Genomic DNA, 15,417 nt, shown 5'->3' on the forward strand with positions numbered 1-15,417 from the left:
GGTCCAATCCAGAGGCGGGTGGTGCCTTCCGTTGTCACGCCTCCAGCCTCCTTTACTCCGGAACATTTCCACGATCTCTTTCTCTTTTGCGACATTGACTTTTTTTTGAGGAATACAGAACCTCCTCCTTTTTTTGTTCTAATAAAACGTCCTTCATTTTGTCTTTGTGTGATGTGTCCTTGTGATTAGACTGAGATTATGCGTTCTTGGCTGGAACACGGCATGGGTGATGTCATGCACTTCTCAGGGTGTCACATCTGGAGGCACATGATGTCCTTCTGTCCCTCTTGGGTGATGTTCGTTTTGGTCACATGACTAAGGTGTTGCCCAGTTTCTGTATTGTGTAATGACCTTCCTTTTCTTCCCAACTAATAAGCAGTCCACAGGGAGACACTTTGGGATCATACAGATATTCAGCCCCTTGTTAAAATTCCCCCTTAGATTTGACATTTGTTGATGATTCTTGCCTGGTTCAGTCACTATCGTAATGGGCAGGAAAAGATGATTTTCCACGTTCAACATTCTCTCTGTGTTTAAAAGTCAGCCCTTGGCATTCTGTTGTAAGCAAGACCTTTCCCTTCTTCTCATTTATTTATTTATCTCTTATTGGTGTGGACTCATGGATTCCAATTTTCTAATGGTTTATAGTGCATTACTGTATTTAATTATTTTGGTGCTTAAATTGTCCCAGAGTTGGCCTGCAGGAACCCTTTCAAGCTGGCTGTCATGTGCTTGCCTGGTGATTTTTTGAGCAGTCACTTACACTTTCTGGCATAACATGGTGTTCTGTGTTCATCTAGTACCTCCTCTGCCTGTCCTTGGAATTAACCATTTCTCTGGCTCCTGTCCATGGGCAGGGGTATTAGAGGCCAAGATTTGGGCACTGGATGTGCTCATCGCTACTGAGGTATCTTTGCAGTTTGGCCCTTTCAGTGGAGAAAGCTAGGAAATCTATGTATGTACATATACAAAGTGTACATTTATATGTGCCTACATATACATACATATAAGCATGCGTACACACACGTATTTTAGAAATCATATGTTCATACCAGTACCCCCAATTCCAGTGAATTTACAGGTTTTTTTTTTCTTGTCCTCTCCCATCTTAGATTTGTATGTTTCTTCTTGTACACTGAGAGCCCTGACTCCTAACAACGTCTACTCACTGATTTGCCCAATCTTATAATGCACCTAAAAGCTTCAGAATTGCTTCACTTAGAGTTGTTTATTGCTTAAAAAACAGTTCAGGATGTTTTTGCAATTTTCCCTCCCCCATGCCCACCCCAATACTTTACTTATCCCCATATAGAGGATATATAGCTGAGCACATTAATTCCTCACTTAACATCAAGGATAGGTTCTTAGAAACTGTGACCTTAAGGGAAATTATGTATAAAGAAACCAATTTTACCATAGGTGAGTTGATATCAACAGGAGTTAAGTTCATGTGGCATACTTCTGGTCACGAAAACATATCTAACTTCTACATAAAGGCCCAAAATACTTCTAGCATTAAACATTGAAATAAATGTGAGCTGTACATACACTTAAGAAAGATTTATGGGCCGGGCACGGTGGCTTACGCCTGTAATCCCAGCGCTTTGGGAGGCCGAGGTGGGCGGATCATGAGGTCAGGAGATCGAGACGATCCTGGCTAATACGGTGAAACCCTGTCTCTACTAAAACTACAAAAAATTAACCAGGCGGAATGGCACGTGCCTGTAGTCCCAGCTACTCGGGAGGCTGAGGCAGGAGAATGGCGTGAACCCGGGAGGCGGAGCTTGTGGTGAGCCGAGATCACGCCACTGCACTCCAGCCTGGGCGATAGAGTGAGACTCCGTCTCAAAAAAAAAAAAAAAAAAAAAAAAAAAGAAAGATTTATGAAAACATGTAAGATAATTACTTACCCGATTTTTGGTGAATTAATGAATGAACAGCAGTCATGGTGGTGGTGGGTTAAATCAAGGAATAAATGTTTGCAAAGTGAAAAATCATAAGGAGCACCTCCTTCCTGCACGAGGTTCAAAACCAATCACAAATCTGGTAGGCTTGTTGAATGCTTTCATACCACATCATTTATTGTCATGCATTTGTATTATCGTCTACTTTATGAATTGTTATTTGACAATCATTTGTATTCATTTATTTTCCAACTCGCATATTTCCAGTTTAGGATCTTGTATGACCAGTGCCTGGGTACTTCAGGACGCCAGGTGGGAGCCAACTCTGGACAGGGCACCATCCTGTCACAGGACAAACTCACACGCCCCCACACTCACTCAGACTGCGCCTGTGTGGACATGCCAGGGAACTTAACATGTACATCTCTGGGATGAGGGAGGAAACCAGAATATGTGGCAAAAACCCATGCAGACATGGCGAGAACATGCAGACTCCACATAGACGGTGGCCGGGACTGGGAATCAGTTTTTTTCTTTTTATCCTCATCCATGTTATAATGCAACAATGTTGAATGAAATGATGTTATTCAAAGATCTGCTGTATTGTGTTTATAAGCTACTTGGATTAATCTGAGCATCCTTCCTTTCCCCATTCAGAGTGGATTTGGTATTCATTTAAAATAAATTTGGATTCAGGCTAGGCATGGTGGCTCACACCTGTAATCCCACCACTTTGGGAGGCTGAGATGGGCGGATCATTTGAAATCAGGAGTTTGAGACCAGCCTGGCCAACATGGTGAAACCCCATCTCTGCTAAAAATACAAAAATGAGGCCAGGTGTGCTGGCTCACACCTGTAATCCCAGAACTTTGGGAGGCCAAGGCAGGCAGATCATTTGAGGTCAGGAGTTCGAGACCAACCTGACCAACATGGTGGAGCCCTGAAAATACAAAAAAATTAGCCAGGCATGGTGATGTGTACCTATAGTCCCAGCTATTCGGGGAGGCTGAGGCTGGAGAATCCCGTTAGACTGGGAGGCAGAGGTTGCAGTGAGCCAAGATCACGCCACCGCACTCCAGCCTAGGCGATGGAGTGAGACTCTGTCTCAAAAATAAATAAATAAATAAAAATACAAAAATGAGCCGGGCATGGTGGCGTACACCTGTAATCCTAGCTACTCGGGAGGCTGAGGCAGGAGAATTGCTTGAACTTGGGAGGCAGAAGTTGTAGTGAGCTGAGATCATGCCACTGCACTCCAGCCTGGGCAACAGAGTGAGACTCTGTCTCAAAAAAAAGAAGAAGAAGAAGAAGAAGAAATTTGGATTCTTTTTTAAAATTTCCAGTTTAGGCTTCTTCTTTCTCATTCTCATTGATTTAATTTTCATTTTAAAAATGCATGGAATATTAGCAAACTGAAGTATCCTTCCTCCCTTCCACTTAATTCCTGTCATCTCTTATAGATAACCAACTTGATTGTGTACTGAAGAAGTCTCCTTCCTGTGTTTCTTTCTGTAAAAATAAGCAGATTTGTGTATGTTTTCTTCTTTTCCTTTCTTACATACAGGGTAGCATATGTGTTCCTTCCACTTAGCAATGTCTCCGGAAATTACTCCATATCATTTCTCAGATCTTCTTCATTCCTTTTCACAGCTGTGCTGTGTGTATGTACCATAGTTGATTCCATCGGTCTGTTATGCCTGGGCATTTAGGTAGTTTCCAGTATTTTGCAATTACAAAGAATACTACAGTAAATATCCTTGTGCATGTGCAGTTGCATACTTCCAGAGGTGTGTCTTGCGGAGAAAGACCTACAAGTGGGCTGCTAGGTTGTAGAGTATAACGGTGATTTAAACTTTCCTTTTAAGCTGTATTTAAGTGAAAAAAAAGTAATAGTTCAAATAAAATGAAAAATAGTACAGGTAACACAGAGACGTGACAGAAATCATAAAAGCAAGCAAATTAAACTATTGCTTCAGTCCCTTCAAACTCCAAATAGTATCATAACTGAGGTTCAGTCAGAGCCCCCTGGAAATCCAGCCTCAGTGCCTCAGTCCCGGCCTTGGGGACCATAGGTGGAACTCTGTATCCACATAGCCTACTGAGCTGCTTTCCTTGGTGGCAGCAGTGTGGCGCCCGCACCTTGGGAGGGAGGCTGGCCAGTGACAACAGGGACAATTGGAGTTGGGGCCCGGAGTGGCACAGAACCGTGCCAACTTCAGGTGTAGCACTATGAGGAGGTTCCCTGTGACCCTGATCATCAGGGGAGGTCAAGTCCTCTTTGATGTCCTCTTCTAAAGATGATACTCACTTTAGAGCAGTGAGAATCTGGGGAGCCCTTTCCCCCAAAAACCTGCTACCAACTGGTCCCATGCCCACATAGCACTTTGCATAGAGCTTCAGGGAATTGGCAGACCTATAAGGGTTGTTTCAGTACCTATAAGGGTTGTTTGGATAAAACTATCAAAAAGAAGAGCAAGAAACCTTTCCTTGACATTTGAAGATCTGATCCGCATTCATCTAGAAAATTAAGTGGAGCCACTCACTCTACAGCTGTGCTAGCTGGATGAGGACTGTGAGGTGCAGCTGTGCGCACAGGTGTCACAGCCAGGGTGTGGAAATCCCATTTTGTGTGGAGAGGCCCATGTGGGTCTGGTTCTGCGTCAAGATGTGACACGGGGGTTGGGGGTGAGGAAGGGGGAGCGGTCCTGGCTTTGCTGCTGCATTTCCAGCTGTGTTAAGAATCACTGCACTTGTGGGTTTCTGTGCACTCATACTCAATATCCAGGGTTGGACCAGACGGTGGTTTTCAAGCAGTTTTGTGTGAAGCCGTAGAATTCCAGAAAGGGGCCTCATGGAGTGCACGAGGGAGCCCACGGCAGTCAGAGGCATTTGATGCCCACCACCCTTTCCTGGAGCAGCTCTGCGCTCATCTGCTGACTGTGGTGGGATGCCCTGGAAAATTGTCCTGCAAATTAGTATTCAGCTGCTTAAAAAAAAAGTTGGATGAGCTTGGTGCTGAATTGTCTTCACCCTCTTCTCTGCTCCGGAATTCTGCTGGTGTCCAACGAGATTAAGCCAGAAAGGGGACAACTACGTCACAAAGCTTGGCCTCCAGGCCAGGGTGCTGGGGCTTGGCCCTGTAACCTTAGGAAGTACTTGGAGCTGAGTTCCCACTGTGTCAACCAAGCAGGGCAGAGCTGAGCCTGGGGAAGGAGAACTTGCAGCTGTAGGGGAGGTGGGCCTATGCCACGTCCTCTGCCTCATGGGGCAGAGGCCAGAGGCTGGGAGACGAGGAGGAGGCTAGCCTCACAGGCTTGCTTGGGAGTCTTCAGATGTCTGATGGCAAGCCTTGTTAGTAAACACAAGCAAACCTATACATATGACATTTAAGCATACATCTCCCAAATATGTGTAAAAATTTATGTATTATAAATTATATATAATATGATCATGCTAGTATTATGGACAGTATAAAACAAAATAGATTTTAAAAGATGAGAAGCGTTAAAAGACCTACTGCCTAGGGAATCATCTTGCATGCCCACTGAGGTCCATACCCACTTTGGAGATGGCCAAGGTAGTTGGAGGACACTAGGTGCCTGAAGGAGGCTGGTGAAGGTGAAAATGGCAGAAGGGAAAGAGAATTATGTTTCCCCGACAGCAGTCTGCACCACGTTCGAACTCTTTTTTTTCTTTTTTTTTCTTTTTTTTTTTTGAAACAGAGTCTCACTCTGTCACCCAGGCTGGAGTGCAGTGGCCCAATCTTGGCTCACTGCAACCCCCACCCCCTGGGTTCAAGCGATTCTCATGCCTCAGCCTCCCCAGTAGTTGGGATTACAGGCGCCCGCCACCACACCCAGCTAATGTTTGTGATAGGTTTCACCATGTTGGCCAGGCTGATCTCAAACTCTTGACCTCAAGGGATCCTCTTGCCTCAGCCTCCCAAAATGCTAGGATTACAGGCATGAGCCTCCACGCCCAGCCCACATTCCAGCTCTTGGCCATATCTGTGTACTGTTTGCTCTGCTGTTTACTGGATAGCTTTCTTTGAATTGACTCACTTGTTTTTTTCCCAAAATTTAGCCTTATTCTAAGCACTAATATCCACAGAAGGCTTTCTGTGCAGCTAGAATTTTCTTCCAATGCACAATGAAATAAGTACAAAACTATGCAAACAAAGCATTTGTCCACACACCACTTAGAAAGCACTGTTGGCTCCCACCTGTGTGATGGGGCCCGCCCTGTGGGAGACTCTGATCTTTGACATCTGACTTCAGATCAGATGGGAGGGAAGGGGGATGGTGAGAGTGAACCTCACATAGGGCCGGGGCCCATGTGAATATCGGGGCGGGGGGGGGGGTGCTCCTCCATGCCAAGGGGTGCCTGCAGGTACAGTCATGCCTAACAGTCTGGGGAGAGTCTCTTGGGGCATGAGATATCTCCCCACGAGAACACTTTGTGACCACATTGATCACAGACTTTGTCGGGGAGTGGCCCACCCCGCCTCAGATCACAGCTACCATGAATCATTGCCACTCGGGCCCGCTGCCAAAACATCTCGTGTTGGGCTAGACCAGTCGCTCATTTATCACTTCAAGAGATACTTATTGTGTGCCTACTCTGTGCCAGACACTGGATTAGACAGTGGAGAACAAGACACATAAGACAGCTACAAAACCCCTGTTCTAGTGGAGGAAGGCAGACAGTAAAGAAGCAGAACAATAGAGAATGTAAGAGCCAAGTCACAATGAATGCTATTATTATTAAGTAAAATCAAGATAAGGGGGAGGAAGGACAAATCTCCTCTACAGAAGAATGCCAAATAATTTATGGAGATACGCGAAGACGTTTCAGAACCTAATGTCCCATTCTCTAAGTGTGGCCTGTGTTTACTGACTTTCTTCCACAGAGTATGGTATGGAAGGAGGAGGAAAAGTGACTTCACAGTGGCGAAAGCTGATGAACATTAGCTTGGCCAAGTATTGGAGATTAACATCAACAGTTATAAGTCATATTGATAGTATGTGCCCTGATAGGATGTGATGAGAAGGGTACTTCCCCTCTGTGGTCCTCCTCCTCAAAACCTGTAACCCCAGTCTAAATAGCAGAAAGACATTGCACAAACCCAGAGTGAGGGACTCTCAAGAATGCCTGACCAGTACTCCTCAAAATGTCCAGGTCATCACAAGCAAGGACAGTCTGAGAAACGTCACATCCAGAGGAACCTAAGAATGAGGACTCAATGTAAAAGGGATCCTGGAACAGAAAAAAGACATTGGGAAAAACTAATGAAATCTGCCCAAAGTGTAGAGTTTAGTTTAGTTAATAACAATTTTTAAAGAGGTATTAAAAAAAAAAAAAAAAAGGCAGGTGAAGGCCGGTGTGGTGGCTCACGCCTATAATCCCAGCACTTTGGGAGGCCAAGGTGGGAGGATCATTTGAGCTCAGAAGTTTGAGACCAGCCTGGGCAACATAGTGAGACCCCATCTCTACAAATACTAAAAAATTAGCCGGGTGTGCTGGCATGTACCTGTGTTCCTAGCTACTCGGGAGCCCAGGTGGTCAAGGCTACAGTGAGCCATGATCACACCACTGCACTCTAGGCTGGGTGTCAGAGCAAGACCCTGTCTCAAAAAAGAAAAAAAAAAAAAAAACAGGTGAAGAGGGCGTCCAGGAAGATGTCTCCGTGGAGGCGACATGTGAACTGAGCCTTGAATGATGCACCCCAGTCACACCTGGCTAGGAGAGACCTGGTGTGAGAGCCTTCCAGGCAGAGGAAATTACTGTGTAAAGATCCTTGGATAGAAACAAGCTTGGGCCAGGCGCGGTAGCTCACGCCTGTAATCCCAGCACTTTGGGAGGCCGAGACAGGCAGATCATGAGGTCAGGAGATGGAGACCATCCTGGCCAACACGGTGAAACCCTGTCTGTAATAAAAATACAAAAGATTAGCTGGGTGTGGTGGCGGGTGCCTGTAGTCCCAGCTACTCAGGAGGCTGAGGCAGGAGAATGGTGTGAACCTGGGAGGCGGAGCTTGCAGTGAGCCGAGATCATGCTACTGCACTCCAGCCTGGGCGACAGAGCGAGACTCCATCTCAAAAAAAAAAAAAAAAATGGAGACAAGCTTGGGATGTTCAAGAGATAGTGAGAAGCCCAGCACAGCTGGAGCAGCATGAGCCAGCCAGGCAGGGATGGCCAGGAGGTAAGGTCAGAGGTGGACTGGGGCCAGGCCGTGTGTTTGGATTTCATCTTGAGAGTGATGAGTAGGCACTGGGAGTTTTGAACAGAGGAGTGACATGAGCTAATTTCATTAAAATCACTTGGGTTTGTGTGGAGAATACATTAGGGTGGCAGAAGAGGTGGCAGACGTCCCTGCATGAGCCGGGGGGAGGGAGACCATGGCAGAGGCGGTGTCTGAGCCCAAGGTATGTGTTCACATCCCTCTGGAAACAGAAGTGCAGGTTCACATTTTGTCATCTCTTTTAACCCCCTGTATGTCTCCCGAAGGTGGGGAAAAAGATGTGAACTCTGAGTTCCAAAGGCTGACTGTTTGAAAGTCCACGCCCGCACAGCCAAGAACTCTGATGGGGACACCATAAAGCCCAACCCTCATCCATCTTTAATTCAAGATGTTTTCTTTGGTGGTTCATAACTTTTTCTGAAAAATAAAAATGCACACCATGCTTAAGCTGATTGCTACAGGTTACCCTTGTTTAATGGGGAGAAAAAATGAGGTTCCTAATCTCTCTCTGCCTTCTGGAAGTTGTAAGTAAAAAAGGAAAACAAAAGGCTTCAGTCACATCAGAGCTTTCTATTAAAAATGTAAGCAGCTTTAGGCCAGACATGGTGGCTGACGCCTGTAATCCCAACACTTTGGGAGGCCGAGGTGGGTGGATCACCTGAGGTCAGGAATTCGAGACCAGCCTGGCCAACATGGCGAAACTCTGTCTCTACGAAAAATACAAAAATTAGCTGGGTGTGGTGGCAAGCGCCTGTAATCCCAGCTACTCAGGAGGCTGAGACAGGACAATCACTTGAACCCTGGAGGCGGAGGTAGCAGTGAGCTGAGATTGCGCCACTGCCCTCCAGCCTGGGTGACAAGAGCGAGACTCTGTCTCAAAAAAAAAAAAAAAAAAAATGTAAGGAGCTTTAGAATGTTGTCAGTGAGGTTGATTATGTTTATCAACCACATGTCATATCTTCTCAGCTGCCTGAAATCCTTTGGGAAGGAAATGTGGTATCAATAAAGTAAAAAAGACGATTTTAAACTCTCGAAATAGAATAAATGATTGCAATTTGTGTTTTGTTGTCAAAGACAGGAACACGTTTCTTGGTGTTGCTGTGATGAATGGAAAGAGAGGCTCTGGCCTCTGTCTTATTTCCACCCCAGTGTGTCTCTGGTGTTCAGGTCGCTGCTGTCGGACATGTGCTTGATGTGTTTGGAGTCATTTATGCATATTTATTCTCCAACATGAGCATGTGTATAAATCTAGGGCTGAAAAGCTGTCTGGACTCATCCCAGTCTCCATTTTGGCTTCCAGAGATCGAGATGGTGATCATGGAGCGTAGCAAGCTCTCAGAGCTGGCCGCCAGCACCTCCGTGCAGGAGCAGAACACCACGGACGAGGAGAAAAGCGCCGCCGCCACCTGCTCTGAGAGCACGCAATGGAGCAGGTAGCTGCCCGAGAGGTCGATGCTGAGTGCTCTCTCAGGGAAGAGGAGAGGGCTCAGTGGGGAGGTTGAGCCCTAGGGCCAGAGCCTCTTCTGTCCCTCAGCCCGACCATGCTGCCTCCCTTTCTTTCCCTGCTTCTCCAGCTCTGGCCACCCAGAAGCATGGAGACGGAGCCATCACTCAACACTGTAATGCTCACTCCTTTGCAAAGAGATTCGCCAGGATAGCGCAACTCTCTCCCTGCCCTGCTCCTGGCACTTTGGAGCTTGGCTCTGTCTAAAGGACATGGGTTGCTTCACATTGGCTGCTCCTAGAAATGCTCTGCTGCTCCAAGGAAGGATCCCCTCAGTAGCTGGGCTTGGATCTCCCTGCCTGGTTCATTCCCTGCCCTGCACACACAAACACATACCCCATCTATAGGGCCTGCCCTCTTGACTTGGCCACATGAGTTGGTGCTGCCATCCACCTTTGACTTTTTGCCTGATTGTTCATTTCATCGATGGCCATCTGTAGCTACATCTTCTTAAACCTGGGTGACCCCACATTTCCTGGAACCTTGCCATAGCACCAGCCCCTCCACAATGGGATTGGAGGGAAGGCTACTCCCAGCGTATGCTGGTAGCTGGTAGCAGGGCTTCATTTCAGAGTTATTTCCTTACCTCGCAGCCCCACTGCACAGACCCCTGCAACAGCCTCCTGATTAGCACTACCTTCCTGTTCATAAATGCACCACACCAGGATTTCTCTGTCAGCCTGCGAGGCATTCACTTCCTCAGCCCCTAGGGAGGGGTGGTGGAAATACACACGGCCCCCCATCCTCTTTAGTAATCCAACTTCAAGTGAAGATGTGAAGTCCACTAATTTTTTTCCTCCACATCTTATTTGTCTCTTTGCTTGGCAAATGTTTCAATGACTTAACAGATGGGATTAATTTTTATCAGATGTGCAAGGGAGCCATTTTTAGTTTTTGCTAAATAAAAAAACAGTGGAGTACAAAGACCTTTTAGATTTTGCTTCACAGCAAAAAATGTAACTCCCAAAGCTCTGAAAAATAAGTAATTCTAAACACAGACGGTTGGGGACAACCTTGGCACAGCATTCTTTAGACTATAAATAATTAGAAGAGCCCCAAATAACCAGTAGTGGGATGTTGCTTAAGCAAAGGAAGAGGTATCTGCTTAATGGAGGATTAGGCCAGGCATGGTTGTTCACACCTGAAATCCTAGCGCTTTGGGAGGCCAAGGGGGGAGGATCACTTGAACCCAGGAGTTTGTGACTGGCCTAGTCACATAGTGAGACCCCATCTTTACGAAAATATTAAAAAATTAGCCGGGCATGGTGGCAGGTGCCTGTAGTCCCGGCTACTTGAGAGGCTGAGGTGGGAGATTGCTTGAGCCAGAGAGGTCAAGGCTGCAATGCACTATGATTGCACCACTGCACTCCAGCCTGGGCAACAGAATGAGACTCTCGCTCAGAATATCTGCTGCTGCTTTTAGGTGAATACTGTCATGATGTGTTCAGTTCCTTAGGGTTTGATAAATGGAAACAGAGAACATACTTTTCGTAGTATGGTAATACTGTGGCTTTGCTAATGGAAGAGAAACACCCATGTATTTCTCCCGCCACCAAAAAAAGGGTTAAAAAAACAGACCAAAATGTTATGTTTGAATATTGGGGTTGATGACTTCTTTTTTTCTGAATTTTGGTGGAGAGAAGGGTTTTCTTAGAGTTGATTGAGATTGTTTCTTAACTTTGGGCATCTTGAAGCACATGGCTTCTAATGGAAGCTGATTCAGTTGCCTTGAGTTAGGCCGCATGCAGTCCTGGGAACCTCCAGGCCAGATTTCTGCTAGACTGTGAGACTGAATGCCGGGTTAGAGACTGGCCCAGGTGGAGAGCAGCTTTCTCCTTTGTCAAGGTATCGAGTTGCAGCTTGTAAGAAACTGCCACTGCCCTCTGTCCCCCCAACTTGAGCAGTTGGGACTACAGGCCAGAGTCACCATGTCTGGCTACCTTTTTTTTTTTTTTTTTTTTTTTTGCAAAGACAGGATCCTACTATGTTGCTCAGGCTAGTCTGGAACTCCTGGCCTCAAGTGATCCTCCAATCCTCCTGCCTCAGCCTTCCTGAGGCAGGGAGTGGGAAGGAAGGTGGCTGTTTGTTCTCTAGGCTGTGAATTGGATCTTGGCGTTGGTCCACTTGCCCCAAGAAACAGCAAGGTAAAAAACAGACTGTTTTTATATTCCCCATATATTATGGGCTCTGTCTGCACTGGGGGTTAAATATAGGCCTAAGAGGCCGGGTGCAGTGGCTCATGCCTGTAATCGCAGCACTTTGGGAGGCCAAGGTGGGCAGATCATGAGGTCAGGAGATCGAGACCATCCTGGCTAACACGGTGAAACCCCGTCTCTACTAAAAATACAAAAAATTAGCTGGGCGTGGTGGCGAGCGCTTGTGGTCCCAGCTACTCAGGAGGCTGAGGCAGGAGAATGGCGTGAACCCGGGAGGCAGAGCTTGCAGTGAGCCGAGATCACACCACTGCACTCCAGCCTGGGCAACAGAGCGAGATTCCATCTCAAAAATATATATATATATATATATATGTATATATAGGCCTAAGAAACTTAAAGCTTTCGAAACATCGTTTCTTTTCTTAAAAAAAAAAGTTTAAAATTATGAAAGTATGCAAAATCTTAAAAAGCATAAAGGGGGAAAAAGTCTTCACTGCTAACATTCAGAATCAGGGGGACTACCATTTTGGTTATTTTTTTTACCAGTTTTTTTTTTTTTTTTTCCGATGTGAACTTTCTGGGAATTTCACCCTCCCTTCTCCCAGAAGCTTGGACCGTATTGTGTCTATAATTTTGTATTCTTTTTTTCCATCTAATATCAACTCCCAAGCAAACTTTTCACCTTATTCTACCCTGCGTAAACAAAACGCTTAATGGTTTTATGATACTTCATCTCATAAAAGATGGTACCCACCCAGCTATTGGCATTTGGTTATTCATATTATTCCCAAATGAAAATATAATCCAAATTTCAAGCAGCTGATTTACAAGAAAATGTTATCCTACTCCTAAGTCTGGAAGTGTTATTGCTGGAGGCTTTCAAAACCCAAATCTACACATGGCAAAACTATTAACACATCTGAAAGGTGGTGCCCCATCTGGGGCTGTGGAGAAATGGGGATGGAACATAAATGTCCCCTTTAAGATTTTCATTTTTTTTTTTTAGTTTTTGTGTGTCACGTGTGTGTTTGAAATGTTATGACAAGTACATTTTTCCTACTTTTTTTTTTTGCATTTTTCAATGAAATATTTTGTATCAGAGATACATGTATAGAGTCAAAAATTCAAAACTGTGTCAAAGGTTATATAGTGAACACTCCCTGTTTCTCCCCAGTCCCCTTTCACTCCCCGTAGGCATCCAATGTTCATTGGAGCTTGGGTGTCCTTCCAGAAATTAAATGTGCCCTTGGTCACTCATGAAGGTGCTCTGTTCTCTTGGCCTCAGCCTGGCATTCAGAGGGGGCAGCCACAGACAGTGGGAGGATCAGAGCCTCTGGCCTGTGGGCCAGACCTGTGCATATTCTATTCTCCTGGTGTTGAAGAGTATTTTTCTGTGAGGCCCTTCACCTGGAAAGGCAGCATTTGGGATGTGCCATTTCCGATTTTTGCAGCCTCTCTACAGATCTCACCCACAAAGCATCAGAGGTGAGAGACCTCACTATCGATTCTTCGCAGTCAGAGAAAGTCAGCCTGAGAAATTGCTGGGTCAGGACCCTGCCAAAGTGAAATCATGAAGTAGTGCCCTTGGTATATTAAAAATAGAAATCAAATAGCAGCTCCCATGCATTGGCACCGTCCACAGTGCCTGACCCTGTGCTAAATGCTTTTCAGTCTTCATTGCGCTTGAATCCTCACAATAATCCTGCAAGGTTGGACTCCACCCCATACAGATGGGGAAATAGGTTTTATGTGACTTGCCCAAGGGTTTGCTGAATAAAAAGCTAAGAAGAGGCAGAATCAGAATTTGAACCCAGACAGTCTGGCACTAGGGCTCATGTTCTTGAACTTGTTTGGATTGTTGTTTGTGCCTTGTGTGACATCACACTGTCCTGTTTTCTTCATTGGCTTGTGACACACATCACTTTGCATTGATGTCTGTTTGTTCTGTGTCTACCAGCTGACACGGGAGCTTTGGTGTGGGGAGTTTGTATAATTGATTCCCTGTGTCTGGAATACCTGGTGAATGATTGTTGTGTGACTAAGCAAGCAGTCTGTTCCTTGGTCAGGTTCCCCTCTGGATAGCGGCTTCCGCAGGCAGAGCCTGTCTCTCATTTGTCTGTGTCCTCAGTGCGTGGTGCTGGACCAGGCACACAGTTGTGGCCTAAAGAGCTGTGTCAAAGGCAGCTAGCACCCCATGTGCAGGTTAGAGAGGGGAGGTGTTCACCCTTGTGCACCGTGAGGCTCATACATGCCCCTCCTCTTTTCCAGACCCTTCCTGGATATGGTGTACCACGCGCTGGACAGCCCGGATGATGATTACCATGCCCTGTTCGTGCTCTGCCTCCTCTATGCCATGTCTCATAATAAAGGTAAGCACCCTTGCCTTGCCTGACTTCCTTGCTGGGCCCTGCATACCCATAGCATCCTTCCCCTCTGCTGCATGGAGGACAAAGAAAGGTGCTTTCTGTACAGAATTTCCTTTCTGGTTTTGGTGGTCCTTTTTGGTTTTGACTCCCGCTCCTCTTTAGCTTCTTTAGAATTTCTCAGGTGTTTTTCTACCAACTGAAGCCACAGGAATTGGTTACTCAGGCAATATGGAGGAAGGTGACTTGAGTGCCTAACCCAGGATGACTATATTCACCCTGTGGTTTTCTTTTGACCCCTTGATTTACAACTGACTTAGCGTCTGACCTCTTTCCTAACATCAGAACTGAAATCAGTCAAATTGTAATCTTGGTTTTGCTATTTATAACACTTGGTGTTCTTATTCTGTGTTCAGAGCTGAAATAGACCCTGGGTGGACTTGGTGGAAGCATAGGTTTCCTTTCTGAAGAAAGGTGTGGTTCTCTGGCTTCCCCTATTAAGGCTACTTGGCCAGGATCCAACTCCCATGGGGTTGACAGGTTTTGTTGGGATTCATTCATTCACCGCCTTGCTGCCGACCCCTGGGAATAGTTACTGTTGTTTGCCCCACCTGGCTTGACATGGGCACGTTCTGAAACCTCCACATCAGAATCTCTTCAAAGAAGAATTCAGGAATATTCCTTCTAACCCCTGCCAAGAGCTAGGCTTGGCATAGTAAAAAAAATCAAGTGATATTTTAGTAGGTTTTTTATAAGCTTATTGGGGAGTAGATAGAGTTGGGTTTTACTAAGACAGCCTATGGCTAGAGGCATTAGAACATACATGATATAACTAAGTTTATGTGTTCTTAAATCATTAATCATGATAAATAAGTTGATTAGTGGCAGAAGGGTATATAGGGAAAAAGTTTCCCACCTTTGACCCCAGCTCTCCTCTTCAAAGGCAGTTCCTGCTACCGGTTTCTCTTGTGTCTTTTTAAAGATAGCCAAACAAACCCAAGTAGGAGTATATATGGTTTTATTTGTATGACTGCCCACTTAGCTGTAAATGGAGATACCCATATTGTGCTTTCTACCTTGCTCTGCTCACATCATCATATTTCAGCACATGGGTTCACATCCATAGAGAACTGCCATTCTTTTTTATCAATGTGTGAGCAAATCATAGATATTAAGGATTTTTGCATCTATGTTCATGACTGATACTGGTCTGTAGTCTTCTTGTAATTCTCTTGTCTGGTTTTGCTAT

General features: G+C 45.6%; 1 protein-coding gene across 39 annotated transcripts in view, besides 1 other annotated feature; it reads left to right on the forward strand.

The window, feature by feature from the left end:
* Positions 1-15,417, forward strand: part of CLEC16A (C-type lectin domain containing 16A) — a 237,623-nt gene that overhangs the window by 66,184 nt on the left and 156,022 nt on the right. For 38 of the 39 annotated variants that reach the window (NM_015226.3, XM_005255214.3, XM_011522434.3 and 35 more), the window contains 2 exons: positions 9,446-9,578; positions 14,074-14,174. In NM_015226.3, coding sequence (NP_056041.1) covers positions 9,446-9,578; positions 14,074-14,174 — 234 coding nt within the window. Of the gene's footprint in view, positions 1-9,445; positions 9,579-13,575; positions 13,825-14,073; positions 14,175-15,417 lie in introns of those variants that run through there. The other variant, XM_024450219.2, reaches the window with a different exon arrangement.
* Positions 5,965-6,259: a silencer, noted in NCBI's record as "tiled region #10204; HepG2 Repressive DNase matched - State 5:Enh". NCBI's record gives its function as "represses a minimal TATA promoter and a strong SV40 promoter by Sharpr-MPRA in HepG2 cells {active_cell/tissue: HepG2}" and the evidence as "EXISTENCE:reporter gene assay evidence [ECO:0000049][PMID:27701403]".

This window comes from Homo sapiens, chromosome 16 (genome assembly GCF_000001405.40).
Source record: "Homo sapiens chromosome 16, GRCh38.p14 Primary Assembly".
Lineage (NCBI taxonomy): Eukaryota > Metazoa > Chordata > Mammalia > Primates > Hominidae > Homo > Homo sapiens.